This window comes from Homo sapiens, chromosome 5 (assembly GCF_000001405.40).
Source record: "Homo sapiens chromosome 5, GRCh38.p14 Primary Assembly".
NCBI classification, from domain to species: Eukaryota; Metazoa; Chordata; class Mammalia; order Primates; family Hominidae; genus Homo; species Homo sapiens.
The window spans coordinates 99,597,682-99,621,926 of record NC_000005.10 but is presented as its reverse complement, the minus strand read 5'-3'; positions in this window follow the sequence as shown (position 1 = coordinate 99,621,926).

Sequence of the window (24,245 nt, the reverse complement as noted above, 5' to 3'; positions counted from 1 at the left end):
AAGTCCCTCCTGGCTCCAAGCCAATCCAGCCAGTTGTCTTGATTCCCTGTGTATGCCGCTATCTCCTGCTTCTGTGCCTCACATTGTCCCTATTGCTTCCTTGGTGGATCCCAGCATTCTCCCCTAGATGCTTTATTTTTCATATGGTTATCTACTTGCTGTCTTGGTTCTTCTTTGTGGAGGAGGCAAGACCTGAACACATCCAGTTAGCTGTCTTGATCTAGAAGATTCTGTTTTTATATGTAATATATTGCCCACACATTTCTTATTTCTTTAAATATATTTATGCCAATTAACAATTGTTCCATCAGTTCCGTTAATTTTGTTTACATTGTTATAAATTTAATATGTTGTTTTTCTTATTTGCATTTGCATTTCCCAGCTTATTATGATTTTCAACTGAGTTTATTATCAGAAGTAGTATTCTGTTAAGCTAGCAATCTTTTTTAAAAAAGTATGATTTGAGGTATTTTCTAATTTCTGCGGGCTTAAATACCCCTCGACGACAGATGTCAGGCAATCATCATCACTCTATTCAGAGCTGGGAAGAGTGGCGTAGTCAAGTATGAGAAATGGGTACAAATGGGTTCCTTCACACCACCAGATTATTTACACTAACACATTAAATAGATTAAGGAGGGAGAAGGCTAGGAACAAATTTTGCCTTTCCAGTGATTTGGAGGGAGGAGGCAATCAGCCTTGGGATGAGGATCCCTAACTCTCAGAAGATCTAGTAAGAATCCTATCCCTTTGCTTTTACTCCAGCAGACAATTTCTCTCTTCAAGTAGTCATCATTGAATTCTTAGAAATATGAAGCCTTGAAAGAAAACAGCCACCTTCAGTTTGCATTATAATATCCCAAAGATGAAAGGAAGAATATAAATTTGTAGATGGGGAACTCAAGTATAGTTTTTATCAGTCAGGTGTAAGAGTCATGTATTTATTATTAAAAGATAATGATCGTATGAGGAAGTGGCCAGAGCCAATCTTCAAAACTTCTCTTCACTCAATACTACTCTTACTGCTGCCCTCAGATGTGTTTCACCCTAGGATGCAACCAGGAACCCTTTCCCCAACTTATGACACAGACACAGACACACACACACACACACACACACACACACACACTCTCACAAGAACCTTTTTCTTTCTTCATTTTTTTCTTTTATTTCTTTTCTTTTCTTTTCTTTTTTTTTTTTTTTTTGAGATGGAGTTTCTTTCTTGTTGCCCAGGCAGGAGTGCAATGGTGTGGTCTCAGCTCACTGCAACCTCTGCCTCCCGGGTTCAAGTAATTCTCCAGTCTCAGTCTCCCAAGTAGCTGGGATTACAGGCGCTCTCCACCATGGCTGGCTAATTTTTGTATTTTTTGTAGAGACCGGGTTTCACCATGTTGGCCAAGCTGGTCTCAAACTCCTGACTTCAGGTGATCTACCTGCCTCGGCCTCCCAAAGTGCTGGGATTACAGGCGTGAGCCACTGTGCTCGGCACAGAACCTTCATTTTTCAAATGTTTCTAACATTTTGTTGTTTTTGTAAATAATTATTATCTTGTATGCTTCTTCTCCTTCATTTACTTAGATTCATCAATGTTGATCCTGAGGGAAGAAGCTTGCAAATCTTCAAAACTTCTCCCCAGAGCATCTTATCATTTATATATAGCTAAACTCTTGTGAATTGCACTCTGACATGGCTTTGAAGCAGGGTATATCTGTGAAAATTAGATATAATTTATTTATTTATCTTGTCTACTGATGGCTTTTCACTTTATGGGTATTAACAGAAGTTTAAAATTCAACTAAAAGACAAATAACAAATTAAATCAAATTCAGCTGTTATTTCGCATTTTATAACAAAAAAGGGATAATCATGATTGCCATAAGTAACGAAAATAAGAAAATGGCCTTTGATTTCTTCTTCCCACTGTCTTTTGCCTTGAAGTTGCCTGTATGTTGAAAAGAAAATAACTTATTATAGACTCAAATATAAATCAAAATAAATGTTGCAGCATAGTTTTACCAAAATATCCTGTGTACAAATCCCTTACTAATTTAACTAGGTATCTAGAGCTATGTGGATATTGGGAACAACTGAAAGTATTTATAAAACTGAAACACCTGAGGAAGATAATTAGATTGTACACATGCATGAAGGCTTCATCTTTTACCTAAAAGACTATTTACTAGAACTTTTAAGAATCTTGAGATTAAGCAATAATAATGTGTACAGAATCATTTTATGGAAGGTTGGATGTAAAAGCTCTTCTCTGAAATTTCCCACAAATTTGAAAACAGAATAATTATCGTGTAACAAAGTGATTCATCTCCTTGAATACAGCTGCATGGAAAATTGCTGAAATTGAGACATTTGAATATCAGACTATTTTCTTAATTTTTATGAGAGTAGAAAGTATATTTTAAATATATTTCCTTGCATAAATCATATATGTCCTTTTAAATAATAAAATAGTAATGTTGGTATTTAATTCATTATAAATATCTTATAAATATTTTTCCTTGCATAAATCATATATGTCCTTTTAAATAATAAAATAGTAATGTTGGTATTTAATTCATTATAAATATCTTATAAATATCAATTTATACATTTGGTAGAGCAGGAAGTAACTATTTAATTCTATATAATTAGAAAAAGTGAAAAATATTCAAGAATCAGAGGGTACTCAAAGGTGTGTTTACATTATATTGTCTTTGCATCTATAACAGCAGACACATACCTCTATTAACCAAAAAAAACTTTGATTTGCAACTCAGTGATTAAGCAGTTCCCTCTAGGTGAAAACTACTCATTCACTTTTATATTTTCAATATCTAATTTTAAAATATTCCAATTAATTTTTACAAATTCTAAATTTTCATATGTCTATCTGTCATTGTTTAATAAAATTGCAGTGGTTCAAATGAACCCCACCTATGAAAACAAACTGAGTGCTCGTGTGGTTTATTTTTAATATGCACAAAATGGTCAAAATGTCAGCATATCATACTTACATTAATATTTTAGTCAAATTTTTACATTAAACATATTAGACTAATCAATTCTGTCTTCTACAAAGAAATTTTCCTGTATGGAGGATGTATACCTTCTATTTTTGAGTAGTACCACTTTTTTTCACTCTAAAGAATAAATAATGCTTTTTATAAACCAGGAAATTCTACTGAAAGGTATAGACTAAGTTCAACAGAGTAATCTTCATCCACAACATACATTTTTGAAAAACAGAAACATACTTTGTCTAAAAGTAGAAAAAAATGAAACCAGTAATAATGGCAAACAGGCTGATTAACCTTTTCCATAGGCAATGCCCAAACTTGCTTCTAGTGCAAATAAGATCAGTTTATTATTGAATTCACAGCTTCATAGAAGTGACAATTATTAAAGCATGGATAATATTCACACAAAGCTAAAAAATATTCGATATTCCCCGTTGACTTTTGTTCCTTTCACTTTAGAGATTCTACTCAGATTTTTATACATTAAATAATGTTTGTGAAATAATGTAAGCTTCACAGGAACCATATTATTTCATTGCAAGACATTAAGTCATAAATCTTCAACATGGTCTAGCATCTATAGCTTTATAGGGAAAAGCTTCCTTGGAAATAATTCTATTCTCCTGCTTAGTAGCAAAAAAACACCAGCACTTACATGCATGATGTTTCATAAGCACTGATGAATAATGTTGGAATTACTGAAGTAAAATTATAAGTTTTCAGACTATCATAAGCTTACATTATTTTCTTATGTATCATAGAAAGTATTACTTGTAAAAATTCCTTATGTTTAATAACCTAAAATGTCTATATTTACTTCAGGATGTTTAAGTGCTTGAATTTTAAAATAAAAAAATTAAGTTTATAATAAGACAATTTTATTTTAAAATCTAATAGAAAACACAGTAGTAAGATAGTGGCATGGATTGCAATCAAGAACAACACAGTAATTTTTCTATGACTTCAAATGATTAGATAAGCATAGTATGAACATAAGAATTGTCATGCTAGTACTATACAATGTTAAACTGGAAGTTTTGACTGGTGTCCTAAAACACATATAAGATATCAAAGTGAGATGGGCAAACAAAAATGCAAATTTATGAAGGAAATCAATTGGAAGCATTTCGGTGGCTCTTGAAATCTCTCATTAACTTTAAGCATATGAAAGCATTAAAGAGAGATTTTATGCAACGAAAATTAATGGAAAATGTGTTTGTAGAAAGAGTTACTACTTTGCTATGAATTCCAACACTCACAAGAAGGAGAGAAAAGAGTTTGTATGCGCCTTTCACCATAAGAGTAATGAAAAAGGCAACAGTGAGACAGCTTAACAGTAGTGATACTTGCCACCCGCATTTAATGGGATCCTTTGGACTTGCGTCTGACACTCATACCTAAAGAGCCTTTTTGTTTGTTTTTGTTTCATTTTGAGATGAAGTCTCACTCTATGGCCCAGGCTGGAGTGCAACGGCACAATCTTGGTTTACTGCAACCTCCACCTCCCGGGTTGTTCAAGCGATTCTCCTGACTCAGCCTCCCAAGTAACTGGGATTACAGGCACACGCCATCATACCTGGCTAATTTTTGTATTTTTAGTAGAGACGAGGTTTTGCCATGTTGGGTAGCCTGGTCTCGAACTGCTGACCTCAGGTGATCCATCTGCCTCAGCTTACTAAAGTGCTGGAATTACAGGCATGAGCCATCCCACCGACTATGCCTGAAGAATCTAAGACTAGATTCTGCCACCATTGGACTATGGTAATACATAAGATAGAGATAAAGATGTAAGGGACAGAGCGAGATCAAGAGCAAGAGCGAGAGCGAGAGAGAGAGAGAGAGAGAGACATTTTAGGAACTAACATCATCAACAAGATGGCAAATTGTATTTCCAATGGACTGAGATGAGTCATATAGAAAATAATTCTATATTAAAATTTTATATTTAGTCCTTAAAGATCTTGTGATGACAGGAACCAGTGAGGAAACTCCTCAGGAGGTGATGAAAGAGCAGCAGCGAGAGTATAAAATCTATATTGTCTGAAATGGATGTTGTGGGTAGAGGAGAACAGTAGAGAACCTCTAAAAAGCCATAAAATGTCCTACATGAGAATCAGTTTTAAATCCTTCCTAAGATTAGTGTTTAACTCACACTTTAAGTAACTACAACTTAAGTAAGTCTCTATTTTCACCTATTTGATACCCACGTTCTCAACCCTAGAATGGCCAAAAATCATGAGAAGCAGGCCAGAAGAAAAGGAAATTATTCACAACCTTCATCTCATCTGCCATTAGCATAAATACACCCCACATGAATATGACCCATCAGGGAGAGTGAAGAATGTTTAAATCAAAACCAAAATTCATGAAACTGGAGATTTTACTTGAGACTTATTTTTGGATTTAAAATAAGAGAAAGACTATTCATTATTTTAGAGTAATTATAAAAGTCATTATTCCTCCCAAAGATTTTATGCACTGTCATAATGAAAACTCTGTCTACTAAATACATTTTAAATGGTAAGAAGGAAAGAATAATAAAATTACTTTTTTTATATCCTATGAGCCAAGTTTATTGGATGTACTGCTTACAAGAAAATCACATCTGTATTTTGTATGCATGAAAATATACACAAACATCCTTGAAGATAAAATATTTTTAATAATGCAATAGTGTTATCTTCCAACTTAAATTTATATTTCTAAAAATTATGGTCAGCAAACATTGATGGCAAAGATTCTACATTGTTTCTACTATACAAGACAACTTAAAATCTGCCAAATATCACCACAGTGTTAGGAAAACCTCCAGGCAACAGAAGTGTTCAATATAGAAGCAAAGTAAAATTAGAGAGAGACACAATCCACTCAGATGCTCTTCAGAATAACCTGTAGGAGTCAAAAGAATTTTTATTTTTACGCATATACATATATTCTATATGGTTTCATGGCAATTATAAATACTCAGACAGTGTAAAATAATGGATTTCACATGTAACTGTAAAACTGTAAACTTTATAAGAGCACTGTTGAAATCCTGTTAATCACTTATTTTCTATATTGGAGATTACAAAAACTACCCTACTCTTTTGACACCTCATTTTAAAAATAACAAATTTGTCATTAAAGCAGAGGTACAAAGTCAAGAGTATGATATCTCTATTGACACAGCAGCATGAGAAGCCATAAATATTCGATTTTCATATTAACTTGAAAGTCCAACTCATAATAAAGATAAATCATTCTTGGTTCACAGAAAATAATCAAGAACTATATAAGGGAATTACATAATCTCCTACATATTTAAAGATTATATTAAAAACTAAGTTGCTTAAATTTCTACTTTTCAGTGTTATCAACTTTCCCCATATTCTAATTTTTCAGCTAATAAAAAGCAATTTATCCCCAGTATTCTTCTGAAACTGTTCTTGACAAGATCATTTGTTCACCTCCACCGCTCAATCCTTAGTTTTTATTGTACTCAAGTTCTGAGTGGTATTTATTACAGCTGGCTGTTGCCTAGTTCTTTAAATACTTTCTGTACTTCATCTCTAGGTCACCTCACTGACCTGGTTTTCCATAACACTGTCATTCCTTTTCAGTCTCATTTACTTAATTCTTTTCTTCTCGATCTCTGTTCTCAGTATCTTCTCTCTTTACATCCTCTTCCTTGGTGATTTCATTCCCTAAGTTTAAAAACCATGTATACTTTGATACCTTCCAGATTATATCTACAATTCTGACAACTCTCCTAAACTCTTGAATCACATATCCTAGTGCCTGCTTGACATTTCCACTTAGATGACTAATAAGTATCCAAATATTACTTGCTTAAAATACACATTTCTACCTCCAAATATGGCACTTCCTCTTGTCCAGATACTTGGTCAAAAAAACTTTGTGGCATCTTGAATCATCTCTTTATCTTACATCAAATGCATCAGTAGATCCTCTTGCTTTTCAGTCACAGGTTCCAGTCAATATCCTTTGCTGTCTATACTACTGTTAAAGTCAACTTACCTCTCTGTTCCCACTTTTTCTTTTCCAGGTGTAGTATTCTTCTCCATGGAATCTAAATAACCTTTTGAATACGTCAATCTTATCATATTCCTTCTCCATGTAGCTTCTCCAATAGTTTTTTTTTATACACAAAGGATAATGTCTGACCACCTTACAATGGCTACCTCATCATATGAACTAGCACATAAAAATCTCCTTACTTTATATCTCTATTTTCCTTGCACATGCCATTTCAGTCAGACTGCATTCCTTACAGTTCCTTAAACACAATTAACAACACCTACTTCTGGCTTCTCAATTCTTTTCCCAGATATTTACATGGCACCTGCTATGGGGTGAATGCATTCCCTAAAATTCATGTGTTTGAAAATTAATCCCCAATACAACAGTGTTGGGAGATGGGGTCTGATAGGAAGGTCATGAGGGCTTTGCCCTCATAAATATGTCAATGCTGTTATAAAAAGGGCTTGTGGGATTGGGTCCCCTTTTATGCCAGATGAGGACACAGCATCAGTTCCCTTTTGCTCTTCTTTTATATCTAACTTGCTCTAACCTTTCATCATGTGAGGATGCAGCAAGAAAGCCCTCACGAGACAGCCAAACCTGCTGGCACCTTGTCTTCGTCTTTCCAATCTCCAGAACAGTAAGAAACACATTTCTGTTCATTATAAATTACCCAGTCTGTGGTATTCTGTTACAGCAGCAGACTAACATAGTGCCCATTAACACTTTATTCAGATGTCTGCTAAAATGTCACTTCATAAGAAAATCCTCCTCTGGCCTATTTTATTAAAATTCTGACTCATATTACATTCTGTTCTAGTTACCTACTTTATTTTACTTCTTAGCATTTATTACCATCTAGTATTATATTTTATACTTCCTTGTTTATTGCCTGAGTACTCCTTCTAAAATGTCAGCTCTGTTAGGGAAAAGACATTGTCTTTTACTCACTGCAATATAGTATCTAGCAGACAGGTGGTACTAAAAAAAATGTACTAAGCAAAGGAATGATTACAACATATAGTATACTGGAAAAGTGTTACTTCCATAATGTGAAGAGTGTTCAAATATTCATCTTCAGGGTGATGTAATGTTAGTGTACCTGTGTCAAAATAATTGAATCAATGGAATATATGATTACAATTCCTTCAATTTTAATAGAAATTAAAAATGTATGTAGATATGTAAAAATTAATTGAAGTTAGAAATATCTACTAGGTAAGCTATGTATCAGACACATGTTAGCTTAATTGAAGTTAAACCAGAACTCTATATACAAATATATGTTTAATGTATACTTATATTATTGTATATCCTATAACTAATAATTCTATATGTGATAACATAATTAATATATATTTCTAACTTCAATTAAACTAATGCTCAGAAATAGAAGTTTTTAAAAATTTCTGCAGAAAATCATATATTGAAGCATTGCTAATATTAAATACTCAAGACAATGAGAAAATGACAGACCTGATATTTATCGTAATCTCACAAAGAATATAAGTCATACTAAGAGGTTTAAATAAGGACAGTCAAATGATATATGAAAAGTCAGCAAAAGTAATCATGGCGACTATGATTTTAACCTACTATTGTTAATAATAGGCTATGCTAATTGTATATTGCACTTTGAGATATTTGCTAATGGTTAACAAATGTAACCATTTGTAAAGTCACACCTCTACAATTACAGTGATATTTAATGAAATATAATTCTCATTTCAATATTTGACAAATTCATTAAATTTATCAATATACATATGTTTGTAAACCTTTTATGATTTCTAATCTAATAATCACATGCCAATGAGAAAACAATTTCCACTCCAATTACACACAATCACTAAAGTGATACACAGAAAACAATGTAGGAATAAACTAAAATTCATTTATCTGCTAGCAAATGATGTTGAGATATCTATAAAGAAAGACAAATTTAGAAACATGATGGAAATTTTAGAGTCTGATTCAAAAGTGAGATGCCTCCAAATTATAATTTTTATGTGTTACTAGAAGGAATATTAGTTTATAAATGATGTACATTCAATAAGAAATCGTATTATTAAAATTAATAGCATGCTTCATGGATAAATGAGGACAATGTAATCACGGCTATATTGGTTTACTTCATTGACATTAAAATTGTGATAAATTTATCTAGTTTGTATTACCTGTATTGGCCATGATTCATAAATGAAAAGATGTTTTTAAGACATTGAGCCAATATTCACAATGTACTATACATTTATATCAATGGAATTAATGTTATATACTCCCAACATTTAGAATGGAATATAATCTTGAAAATACTTTCCATGAAATGGGTCTGGGGCATCAGACAGTTGCCCTGCACAGCTAGCTGTTCAGTATTTCATTCAAAACAGTTGTTCCAAATTTGCTGATATAGTTTATGATGAAAAGTTCTTGTCAGTAAATGGTGCCAAACAGCTATTTAAGGGGAAAAAAATAATTCATATACTGTAGTCTACAGTTTCAAATTAGCATCACTGTTTTACAAGCAAATGATAAATGTTTTGAATGAAAAGTGTAATACAGTGAGAGCATTTGACTAGGAATATTTGAAATATTTGAAATATTTTCATCATTGTATAAGTATTAACAGAAATAAAGTCCTCCACATCCTGGCCAATGTTTGATATTGTCAGTCTTTTATATCTAACTTGCTCTAATATATATGTAGTCATTTCTTATTGTGGTATTAATTTACATTTCTCTAATGACTAATGATGCTGAGCATGTTTATATGTGTTTATTTGCTATCCATATATCTTCTTTCATAAAGTGATTGTCCAAATATTTTGCCCATTTAATTTTTTAAAATTGAATTGTTTGTTTTCTTAAGTTTTGGGAATTATTTATATATATTCTGGACATAATTTTCTTAATAAATCTATGATTTGCAAATAGTTTTCACCCATCTATTAAAACTCTCACCAAAGATTCAAAGTTCAAAATTTTATGAAGTCCAGTTTGTCATTTTTCTATATTTATGTTTAGTGCTATTTGTGTCCTATTTAAAAAGTTTTTGCCTAACATAAGTTAACAAAGAATGTTGTCTATATTTTTTTTCAGAGGTTTTATAATTTAGGTTTTAAGTTTTGGTCTACAGTAGATTTTGAGTACATTTTTATGTCTGGTGCAAGGTATACATCTAACAAAGGATAGGTAACAATTTTATAGAAAAGTGTAAATCTTTACTGAAATTTCATACAGTAAAGAATACTTTAAAAATATAGAGAAACCTTCATGATTGGACATTTCAATAGCTAAAGTTGTCAGTTCTACCCAAGTTATGCTATAGATTCACTGAAAACAAATCAAATTCTAAAAAGTATTGTTGTGTGTGTGTGTGTACTTGATTAAAACCTCACAAACATTTTCTGTAATTTTATGAAAAAGTAAAGATTACGGAGTAATCAAGGCACCAGTGAGGATAATATATAAAAAAAGACGTTGCATGAAATTTATAATTTAGAAAGTAGAATATTAAAATGGAATTAGATTAGGAATCAATAGAATCCAATAGTAATTTTATGGCACAACTAGCATTTTGTTTAATAAAGAAATTTTCAACAAATAATGAATTGAGACATCCAAGAGAAATTTGAGGACAACCACACATACACCAAAATCCTTTCCAGGTGCATTACCAACTATTATGAGAAAGATGAAAATATGAAACTTTGAAATCTCCTATTCATCAAAGTACAATATAAATAATATCAATATAAATTATAAATATATAAATATATATTATTTATAAATTATAAATAAATATTTATATATATTTGTATACATATATAAATTATATCACTTATAATTTATATAAAATATAAATTTTATATTTTTACTTGAATTATAAGTTTATATATTATATATTATAAAGTTATAACATAAATTATAAATATATATTCTATTATATTACACATTTATATATTGTATATTCATAAAATATAAATTATAAAGTATAGTATAAAGCAAGTAGAAGGGCAAGATAAAAACTGGAAGATTGCATTTTTAACATGTAATACTTCTAATTGATTAATATCTCTAAAAATAAAGGATGACTAAAAACAATAATAGCATTATAAAAATACACAGAGGACCTCACAAAAAATGACAATTTTTTTCAGACTGTGTCTCACTCTGTCACCCAGGCTTGAGGCCAGTGGTGCAAACGCAGCTCACTGCAGTCTCGATATCCCAGGCTCAACCCTCCTCCTTCAGACTCACTTGTAGCTAAGACCACAAGCACACACCACTACACCCGGCCAACGCAAATTTTTAAATTAGTACTACATAGAAAAGAAAATTTAATTGGCTGAATAAAACATGTTCAACCTGAATATTAACCAAAAAATCACAAATTTAAACAATCTTAAGATCAAATTTCACACCCAGCACATTTTTAGAAATTCAAAAATTTGATCATATCCATTACTGATGAGGATTCAGAGCAAATTAGTCTTGCAAATTGATAGGGATACTAAACATTTAGGGAGAAAATCGGCATCCGTTATCAATTACAGTTTAAAAGGTTCATTCTCTATAGCTCTAAAATTCTACTTCTAGATATTTCCTTAGGGAAACTCTTAAACATGTTGACTAAGAGAAAACTACAAGATTATTTATAGCAATAATGTCCATCAACAATATTATCCTCTAAGACATGTCTTCATAAAATTTTTCACATCTGACTTTTCATTTAACTTCTGTCTATGCCTACTTAATGACATAAATTAAAGATTAATTCATGGACTACTAGAATAGAAATAATGTTCTTAAAATTTAGAAAAACATATTTTAATACCCTGCTACATTATTTCATCCATAAACTGAGAAATGAGGTATAGATACCCAAGAAAATGAAGCCAATTACCATCTGAAACACATAGAACAATGTTTCACTAAGGGTCTCAAATCTGGCTTTCTTTAACCCATATTGTGACAGTGGTTTGAAAGACAATCCCTGAAAAGCAGTGAAAAGTTTCTGCAAATGTCTAAACTTCTCTCTTTTACCTGTTAACATGTAGAATTGGAGGTAATATCATGATAAGATCTTACTATAAATTATAGTTCTATGCATCTGTAAACACTTGATTAATACTAAGGAGCCATAGCAAAGCAGAAAAAAAAGTCTTTTCAGTAAATAGTGCTAAATCGATTGTATATCCATATGAGAAAGATTAAAAATTTACGCTGTCTAATGCCTTATACAAAATAAACTACAGTTGGATTGCAGATCTAAATATTAAAGTAAAACAATGAAGTTACTATAATATATTAGCATGTCTTCATGAGTTTAGGGTGAGCAAACAATCCTTAATGGACACAAATTACACTAACTACAAAGTAAATAATTAAGACATCAGATTGTATTAAAATTAAAAACATTTGTCTATCCAAAACATAAGAAAAATGAAATACCAACCACAGAGCAGCAGAAGATGTTTGGAACAAACATAACTAACATGGACCATTAATGAGAACATTTTCCTCAAATAGATAAGAAAAATGACATTGAAAATACACACAAGATACTTAAAGAAAAACAACCCAGAATAGTCAAGTATTAAAAAAAAAATACACGACATGATGCTCATTCTTATTAGTCATCAGGGAAACAGAAATGAAAAACACTAAGTGATAATACAAAATGAATGGCTAAAATTGAAAAGACTGAAAATATACGATTGAGGTGAAGAAGGAGCAATAGAAACTTTCACATAGAACTGAAGGAAGTATAAGTTGGTGCAACCAGTTTGGCAATACGTTTTGAAATCTTGCATGCACATGCTAATAAATTTTACTCCAACAGAAGAGTACTCATGCATATTGTATATCAAAGACGTGAATGTTCATAGCACCACTGTGGTCTATATTTATTAATATTATACCAATTAATGTGCAATATGATTCTTATCAACCATATAATCCTAGTTATATCACTCTTAAATGTATGATTTTGTTGACATATGTTAAACGGCATATTTTATAAACCTTACAATATATTGTTGCTATTTTTACTTTATACATACTGTTCTGTGGAAATTAAGAAAAAATAGTCATTTATATCTAACAAAATATTTACAGTTTTGGGGGTTTTTCATCTCATCCTTTGGATGTGTGTTTCAATCATGTTTCTTCTGCCTATATAACTTCATGAGTTCTTGCAGTACAATCTGCTAAGGACAGATAATCTCACTTTTACTTTCTCTGAAAAGAGTTTGTATTTCACCTTCAGTTTTGAAAGGTATCTTAATTGAATATGGTATTCTAGACTGTTATTATTTGTATCACATGAATACATCATTTTGTTTTCTTTTTGTCTTCCTCTGTTTGTGATAAGAAGGCAGACATCATTGTTTCCCTGAATGTTAATTGTCTTACTGTGGCAGCTTTATGAAATGTTTCTTTCTCTTTAGTTTTTATCTGTATGACTATGATGGGCCTAGATATGCATTTCATGTCATTTGTCCTGCCTGAGGCTCTCTGAACATTTTAAATCGGTAGGTTATTTGCTGGTTTATTTTTAATCATATTTGGAATGATTTCTCCACTATATCTTCAAATATTCTTTCCTCTTGGTTCCTCTCCCCTTTTCTGGAATTTTAATTACATTTAGGGATAATCATTTGAAATTTTCCTATGTTGCTAATTCTCTTCAGTTCTGTGATTGTTCAGACTTTTTAAGTTTTTCTGTCTTTCAGTACAGTGGCCTTTTTTTGTGCTGTGTTCAAACTACAGTTTCTTTGATCCAAGGAATTCTTCAATTCAGATGTTTTTGTTTCAATTCCAGAATTTGTTTGGTTTGTTGAGTTTAGTCAATATAGTCAGAAATTGAGCTGTATTTTAGTTTTGTTCTTCTTACGGTTACCTTCAGTGCACTACAGACCTCAAACTGTTCTTGATTCACTTTGTGCTTAGGATGTGGGCTGGTTATCTGGGAGATTTTCTCAAAGTCTGCTTCACCCTCAACTAAAGACTTCCCTTTACACTTGTGCCCAGAGACGGTCTCCCTTCATCTTCTTATCCTATCCCCAGTAATATTCTAATGTAAATTGATACTCAGTTATCGCCAGTTGTATTATACAAGTCATCTGGCTTTTACATACTATAAGAATGGGAACAGTGCTCTTTCCAGCTAATCCTACACTGAAGCTGAGAATCCCCCTCTACTATCATTGTCTCTTTATTACAAGTTGCATTTTTCTGCATCTTTTTATGTATTTTAATTTTTGATATTAACTTTTTATAAAATAATAAAGATTAAAGTGCTTAATTTTGTTGTAGTGTAGTTTGTTTTTCCAGTAAATTTCCATCTGAACTCCTTTTGTGGGGAGTTAATATGAAGCTAATTATAAGTTGAGCTGAGTTGGGGCTGGTTTGAAGTGTTATTTAATTTCAGTTCAACTCTGAATTCAATACTAGCTGGGTACTTGAACCTAAACCTAGATGAGATTATGATGGCTGTCTGTGTTTCCCACTTTACAACCACAGATGCTAACTGAGCAAATTCTTATAGGTTATAACTGTGTGGTCAAGAGATTTATTTCTACCCTGAGGCTCTTCCAGATTCCAAACAGTCATTCCAACACAAGCATTCATTACAAGTTTAGCTTGTTTCTCCCCATCCCCAAAAAGTCTCTTCTTCTGTGGCAGGTATATTCCTCAGTCCTCCCTTAACTTGCATCCCCCAGTCATTTCTCTTGGGAATTGGGTTTCTAGACATTCTTTTTTTTTGAGGCGGAGTCTCACTCTTTCGCCCAGGCTGGAGTGCAGAGGTGCGATCTCGGCTCACTGCAAGCTCCGCCTCCCCGGGGTCACGCCATTCTCCTGCCTCAGCCTCCCGAGTAGCTGGGACTACAGTCGCCCGCCACCACGCCCGGCTAATTTTTTGTATTTTTAGTAGAGACAGGGTTTTACCGTGTTAGCCAGGATGGTCTCAATCTCCTGACCTTGTAATCCGCCTGCCTCAGCCTCCCAAAGTGCTGGGATTACAGGCGTGAGCCACCACGCCCGGCCGACATTCTTATATCCAATACACTTAGATGACTTTAAAGCAAAGTGTGATTTTGTTTGTTTATCCAATGTTGTCTTGTATGATGAGAGAAATCTCACATCCTAACTGGAACTGGATTTATTAGGCAATCATTTCTAATTTTATGAAAGAAGAGCTCAAATTTTCTACTTAAAGTGCCTCATTTGCTGGCTTGCAGTGGCTCATGCCTGTAATCCAAGCACTTTGGGAGGCCGAGGTGGGTGGATCACGAGGTCAGGAGTTCAAGACCAGCTTGGCCAACACAGTGAAACCCCGTCCCTACTAAAAATAGCAAATTAGCCGGGCTTGGTGGCACGTGCCTGTAGTCCCAGCTACTCAGGAGGCTGAGGCAGAAGAATCGCTTGAACCCTAGGAGGTGGAGGTTGCAGTGAGCTGAGATGGCACCACTGCACTCCAGCTTGGGCAACAGAGTGAGACTTTGTCTCAAAAATAAATAAATAAATAAAGTGTCTCATTCTAGCTAAGAGAGTTCCCATTTGTGTATAAAGCAGAGTTAAATGCTTTTTCCTTTTCTGTCAAAGGGAATAATTCAACTCTCCAATTACAGTTCTTTTGCCTAGGTCAAAAGGTTGATGAGCTAACACAACTTTCTTATTTCTTGTCACACTAACATGACTTTCCATTGAACAATCACATATATGTGGTTGACAGAAATACACATTGTGGCTTACAGCTGTAATCCTAGCACTTTGGGAGGCCGAGCTGGGTGGATCACTTGAGGTTAGGAGTTCCGGACCAGCCTGGCCTATATGGTGAAACCCTGTCTGTACTAAAAATACAAAAATTAGTCAGGCGTGGTTGCACCTGTAGTTCCAGCTACTAGGGAGGCTGAAGCAGGAGAATCACTGAACTGGGAGGCAGAGTTTACAGTGAGCCAAGATGGGACCACTGCACTCCAGCCTGGGCAACAGGGCAAGACTCTGTCTAAAAAAAAAACAACCAAAAAACGTAAATACATATTGTAGTTGAACAGATGATAATTTCTTTACCTTTACTTGCATAACAGGATCCAGGAACCATTATTTGAGTAAGGTACATTCCAGAGGCTAACAGAACTCATATTTTGCTATAGTAAGTGTAAAAATCACTAAATAATCTAATGTTTTCCAAGGAGTATTTGGATGATTTAACATGAACAGGTTAAAATAAAATCAGAATTTGTTTTATTGGTTTTACTATTATTTGATTATTTTCCATATTTGTTAAATAAAATATTTACCACTTTAAATATGCTATAACATATACAGGTTATTTTATATTTGCCTCACTCTGATAATAATCATGAAATGCAAGAAAAACATTATGACACATGAATAAAATTACATGTCCATATTTAATATTGAATATTTACCAGAATTTCATTTGATTCCCTATTGTTTATTTCTATAATCCATATTAACACAAATATTATTTTACAGCATGTTATTTGTTATAATAAAAATTATCCTAAATCACTGATTCCTCTTTAATATATCAATCTTCCTAACAATGTTTAATGCTTTTGAAAAGGTAATCCTCTAAATGCCTCTAAATTATCTTATATTAGATCATGACCACCTATTACTCTATAAATCCATAATCAGAAACTCTGAGTTTTTATAATCACCTAAATATATGTATTTTTTTCATTTTTAGTAGAACAATCAATAAAAAGAATACTTGTTGATAAATTAGTAGAGACAGAAGATCTTTCAATGACTGGAAAGTGAAATATTTCATCAGTCAACCTGATGTTCAGTTGTGATGCCATCATTTTACCTAATCAGAATATCTAAATAACTAAAATGTTTAATATTCATCTTACTGATTTACACAATCACAGAAATTATTTTACTCAGCCCCTATTACTATTTTAATTATCCATTTAAACCCATGTACCCTGCAATTCTCTAGGCTGAGGTAAAAAGAATATAAAATTGAAAACAAAAATAATTCAATCATTTAAAAAATCTCTATAACAATGATTTAGTTTTTCCAAAATAAATTTAGTTTCTTAGTTCTTTGTAATATTACTAATAATATAAAACTTGTTTACAGACTGAAGCAATGCTTTTGTTGTTCCTTTTTCATTACTGTCTATGAAATGAAAGCTAAAATACTTCAGGTTCAGAAGAAATCTCAGTATATATTAGGAAATAAGGGTAACAGACAAAACAAAAATTGTTACAGTCACATTTTTGCTATATGATTCCAGAATTTAGAACCAGTTCTTTATAATGCTGTATATATGAGAATTTCTTACAAATTTTCTTTTTGATAGATGGAACTTAAATTTGCTGTTTCATGTATCATGATTCACTGATAATGGAAAAGTAAAGACTAAAACATAGGAAGAACTCAGCTATGTCCTTGGCCAGAGTAGAGAAACCATACAGTTTAAAAATAATCCAACTGACACATTATCTGTTATGAAGCGTAAAAAAAGGAACTTGATATGAGTGTGTGTGTATGGATAAGTGTGCATAAACTTGTAAAGGTGAAAGAGGTTGCATAATGGGTGTGCGATGCAGTATTAGACTCATCAATCCAGGTACCACTGTATTTCTAAAAAAAGTTCTCTGTGAATAAATCATTAAAAATTAGTAAATATTTAATAAAAATGTTGTAGTATTATATTTGCAAACAGTGCTTCTTTCTTTGTGAACATAATTTGTCCTTTAAAAATCTAGTAAATCCCTGGACTTGACTGATTTAAAATATTTATTTGGAAGTTTACGGTCACCTATAAAGTTATGCTTCCCAGAGAAATGTTTACATAAGTTCAGAGATACATCCTAAAGCCTTTCATCCCAATCCTGAGGTACAGATTGTATAAGTAACTTTCCAGTCTGATATCACAATTATAATAACTTCTAGTGAATCATGATGAACACTATTGTATCTTACATAATACCAGATGACAGGACATAAATAATTGGAATCATGCAGTTTCTAGCTTTTGTTCAGATTGGTTCTTTCACTTAGTAATATGCATTTGAGATTTTCCCATGTTTTTATGGCTTGAGAGCTCACTTTTTATCACTCAATAATATTCCATTATGTGAGTGTACCTCGGTCTATCTATTCACCTATTGATATCTGAAAAAAAAAAAGAAAAAAAGGAAACTTAACTGCTAAATAGCTCTATAACAAAAATTTGTTTGAGATAAATCATAGACATAAAAAAATGAAAACGTAAACTGAAAAAATCTTCATGACCTAAGCCTAGGCAAAGATTTTTTAGAACTCAAAAAATATGAATGACAAAAAAAGGATAATTTCATGAAAATTAACTCTTTGATAATCAAAAGACATTTACATTAGTATTTTATTGTGATTTAACCACTTAATATAAACTTAGCAGCTTAATATCCATTTACTAAGTTACAGTTTTCTCATTCCAAGTCTAGCACAAGGTATTTGGTTCTCTGCTAAGTACATCACAATGCTGAAATCAGAGCATTTGCTGTATTTATTTCTTGTCTGTTGGCTCTGGGGATAAAATTGCTTCCGTAATTATTACTATTGACAGAGTCCAGTTCTGTAACTGTATGACTGAGGTTCGTGATTTCTTGCTGACTGTCAGTTCCTAGAAGCCATCTGCCTTCCTTACCACATGATGCCTTCCATTAGTAAGTAAGCAGGCCACATCAAATCCTGCTCATCCGTGGAGTTTCTGACTTCCGTTTCTGTGACCAGCTGCAGAAATATCTCAGCTTTTAAAGGGCTCAAGGTCTGCCTGGATAATATCTATAGTTTAAGGTCAACTGTTTCTTATTAAATAACATAATCACACAGGTTAAAAACTATCAAATTCACAGTCTGGAAGCTATATATCAAGTAATAGGGTGTAAGAAATCTGTGACCATCTTAGAATTCTGGTCACCATAGTCCACACTCTGATCCCAAATATTCATGTCCCTTACAAATAAGGAATATATCCACTCCTTCCCAAAGTTCCTAAGGATATCATCCCATTATAGCATCACCTCAAATCCAACATTTTATCCTAATATCCTTGGCTCAAAAGTAAAAATTTCTCATCTAAGTTTGGTAAAATGGATGCCCTGAGTATACATTCATTAAGTACAAATCCTGTGGCATATTTTTTTCTGAAAGTGTACTTTAAAACTAATTGGATAAGTTATTCATTGCAATACCTTCAGTATACGACAATGGATGGGATAGCCATAAGTCAACAATTATAGATACTTAAAACAAAGAGAGAATAGTTCAAAAAGAGAGAAAATGGAATGTAAAATAGAGTCACTGTTCCAAAGCAGTTTTGTAATCCAGCTGGGCAAACTAGAGTCAGAGTTTCTTAATTAGGGATGAGTCCTGGAAATAATCTTCTGTGGCTGTCATTATTGGCCTCTGGGGTGTCAGCCCCATCCTTGGTGCTCTGGCTTCCACGCTGTGAGACATGCTTCCATTTTCATGAAAGGTGTCCCCCCAAAAATAATTAATTAATTAAAGCTGAGCAGCTGTAATACCTTGTCAGTAAAATTTTGTGGGCTTTATGGCTTACTTTCATTTTGTATTCTCTGTCTCTCCCTTTGAGATAAGATCTTTCACCATCGCCCAGGCTGGAGTGCAGTGGCACGATCTCGGCTCACTGTAACCTTATGTTCAGTCCAACTTGACTGTGTTCTCAGTAATGGAACCTTGTTGGCCTTATGTGGATTTCACAAAGATTGACTCTTAGACAAAAACCATATCCATGGGTGATTCTGAGACAATCATTTCTCTATCTTTTGCTTCTGCTGACATGGCTAAGGGACAATGCCTGTAAACTTCCTGTGGTCTCTCAAGTTAGACTGATAAAATCTGTGAGGCATACTTTTGATCTATTTTATGTCATGCTTTTGCATGCAATTTTAATGTCTTTCACCATCAGGGCAGGCTAAGAATTTCTCAAATCGTCAACTTTGGTCCCTTTTTGTTGATTAGTTCTTTTCTATATTGATCTCTTTTCTCTCAGTTTACTATAAGCAACAAGAAACCAGGGAGTGTCCTCAACACTTTAATTAGAAATCTCCTCAGCTCTGTATCCAATTTGTCACATACAAGTTCTGCTTTCCACATAATTTCAGGACACATTTGGTCAAAGTTTCAGTAATCACATAAAAATATCTTTTTTCTTCTAGTCTCCAATAACATGCTCTACACTTCTTCTGGGTGGTCACCACATAATTCTTAAAGTCTAGAATTCTAACAAATGTATGTTAACAGTGATTTAAGGCTTCTGTTAAAACAATCCAGAATTTTTCTATAATGTTCCTCTCTTCCTTCTGACTTCTAGCCAGCACTGTCTTTAACGTCTCTATTTCTACTAACAGCACTGTCTTTAATGTCTCTATTTCTACTAACTATAGTGCCTGTCCAAAGGACTATAGGCTTTTTAATAACACTCCTTAACATTTCCTCAGCATTCTTCCACTGACCAATTCTAAAACCACTCCTACATTTTATATTTTGTTATAGAGGTACCATACTTCTAGCACAAAATAGGCCTCTTTAATTGTTAGAAACTTTTTAATACTACTAACATAGAAGCTTTATTTTTATTGCTACAAACTTAGCAACTTAAACCAACATCCATTTATTGACTCATACTTACATAGGTCAAAAATTTGACTCTGTGGCTGATTTCTCTGCTTGATATACGCATAGCAGAAATCAAGGACTGGTTGGATACAGTTCTTGCCTAGAGGCTTTGGGGAAAATTCTGCTTCCAAGCTCATTCTTCTTGTTAGCAGGATTCATTCAATGTGAGTGTAGGACTAAAGCTTCCTGGCTAGCTATCAGCTGGGGATGGCTCTAAATAACTATACTGCCTGCATTATTTAACACTAGTAGTCTCCCTCAACTTTCAAGCCAACAAGGAGTATCCAACCCTTCTCATTTTTTTAACATCTTACTTCCTCTTACTACCATCTTGGGAAAAATTGTTTGCAAAAAATTGCTTTTAAAAGACTCATGTGATTAGGTCAAGCACAGCCAAATGATCTCCCTGTCTGAAGTTTAATTGTGCCAAATAACATGGGATTTTACTTCTCTGATTATGTTAATGGGAGTACATTTTATCATACTGACTTTGCCAAAACCTTGATTTGAGATTTAACCACCAGAACTATAAGAGAATCAATTTATGTTGTTTTAAGACACCAATTTGTGTTAAATTTGATAAAATTTGTGTTAATTTGTTACAGAAACCTTATATTACCCGACTTCAAACTATATTACAAGGCCATTGTAACCATAAAATCATGGTACTGGTACAAAAAAAGGAACATAGACAAATGGAATAGCATAGAGAACCCAGAAATAAGGCTGCACACCTACGACCATGTGATCCTCAACAAAGGTGACAAAAACAGGCAATGAGGAAAAGACTCCCTATTCAATAAATAGTGCTGGGATACCCGGCTAGCCATATACAGAAGATTGAAACTGGACCCCTTTTTACATTATATACAAAAATCAACTCAAGATTTATGGAAGACTTAAATGGTCAACCCAGAACTATAAAAACTTTGGAAGATAACCTAGGAAATATCTTTCTGGACAGAGGAACTGGCAAAGATTTCATGACAAAGACATCAAAGGCAATTGCAACAAAAGCAAAAATTGACAAATGGGCCTAGTTAAAGTTAAGAGCTTCTTCGCAGCAAAAGCAACTATCAACAGAGTAAACAGACAGCCTACAAAGTGGGAGAATAATTTTGCAAACTATTCATTGGACAAAATATCCAACATCTATAAGGAACTTAAACAAGTTTACAGGAGAAAATCCAACAAGCCAACTAATCAAAAAGTGGGCAAAGGACATGAACAGATATTTCTCAAAAGAAGACAAATATGCAGCCAAAAATCATATGAATAAAACCTCAATTCACTGATCATTAAAGAAATGCAAATCAAAACCACGAGATGCTACCTTACACCAGTCTGAATGGCTATGACTAAAAAGTCAAAAAATAACAGATGCTAGCAAGGTTGCAGAGAAAAGGGAAAACTTATACACTGCTGGTGGAGTATAAATTAGTTTAATCATTTTGAAAGCAGTACGGTGATTCCTCAAAGAGCTAAAATCCTAACTACCATTCAGCCCAGCAATCCTGTTGCTGGGCATATACCTAGAGGAATATAAATCATTTTACCATAAAGACAAATGCATGTGAATATTCATTGAAGCACTATTCACAATAGCAAAAAAAAAAAAAAAAAAAAAAAAAACAACCTAACTGCCCACCAATGACAGACTGGATAAAGAAAATCAGGTACATACACACCGTGGAATACTATGTAGCCATGAAAAAAACAAGATCATGTTCTTTTGCAGAAACATGGATGGAGCTGGAGGCCATTATTCTTAGCAAATTAACACAGGAACAGAAAACCAAATATCACATGTTCTGACTTATAAGTGGGAGCTAAATGATAAGAACTTATGAACACAAGGAAGGAAACAGAATTCTACTTGAGGGGGAAGTGTGAGAAGAAGGAGAGGAGCAGAAAAGATAACTATTGGATACTGAGCTTAATACCTGGATGATGTTACAATATGTACAACAAACCACTGTGACACATGTTTATCTACGTAACAAACTTTTAAATGTATCCCCAAAGCCTAAAATAAATGTTAAAAAGAAATTAACATTTATGTTTCTTATAAAAAATTATTGTTGTCTAAATAATTAAGTAGGAATAACCTATACATTTTGATGAATAATTTCACTCCTTGCTTTTGAGTTTTTTCTTACTTTGCCTTACATTTAGCCATTTTTCAGTAAAATAATCTCCAAAAATTATATTAGTATCATTAAAATCTAAACTTGAATGAATTTCTATTTTATTTAAAAAACATGAAGAGGGAATCAATTATGACGAACTACCCCATAAAATTTACTATTTTTTCTGTGATTCAAAAATATCACCTGTGTGAGGTGGCTCATACCTGCAATCCCTACCACTGAAGAGGCTAAGGTGGGAGGATCACTGGAGCCCAGGAGTTCAAGGCTGCAGTGAGCCATGATCACGTCAATGCACACCAGCCTAGGTAACAGAGTGAGATTCTGTCTCCAAACAAACAAACAAACAAAAACTAAAATATATGTCCATTTATAACTAACATGTACTAATCATATAAATGCTTTTGAGCAACAAAATCCCATATGTTCATTTTCTGTCACGTTTATTTTCCTCAGAGAAGTAATTTCACTAAATTTTCATGTGAAAGGTCAGTAACCATTTATTGTAAGACATGGTTTGCTCTGTGTTGTTTTAGGTAAATTTCACAGAATTTTATTAACTTCTCAAAATTTGGATTTAAGATAATAATTCAACTGAATTAAGCCTCACGATGAAAAGAGCTAATTATCTAATAAAATATATGCATATATATGAATATGAATATATATATATGTTTTTTTTTTTTGAGACAGGATCTCACTCTGTTACCCAGGCTGGAGTCACTTACTCTTTATAATATACTAGTTATTTTGTTAAATATGATTATATAGTGCCCTGCAATATTAATAGGTTATCAAGAAGGTCAAAACAGTCAAGACCATTACTCCTAAGTTGCCTTGTTAAACCATAACTAAATTTAGAGATGATGCTTAGAAACATGCTTCTTGGGCTTAATATTTTACATGGTTGAATGAAGCAAATTTCTTTTGATGAGTTAATCCCCAGATGATCTAGTTAGCTACCATGGGGACTGTAGTCATAGCTTAGAGCTCTAAGTTCAGCAAACCGTGTGACCTCTGGACAGATAGATGCTCAGGTAAGAAACGGCTGAATGCAAATCTAAATCGGCACTACTAAAAATCAATGATCAGTGTGATGGTTAGTACTGAGTGTCAGAGACAAGTAATGTCTGTTCATACATCTTTATACTAAAGGATAGGATAAAAAACTCTCACGACTTAAGAAACATTACTGAGATGTAATCAGAATAAAAATCAGAAATTGTGACAAGTTAATAATTTCCCTGCAATTTATTAATCTAACTGTTCTTTATTCATTGCCTTTTTATAGCGTGATTTGTAATATAATTTTAAAGAATCATTTATGGATTTCAGTATTGTCTGAACATTTTATCTGTGTGTTTTTCTGCTTCCCACATCATTTTTGTA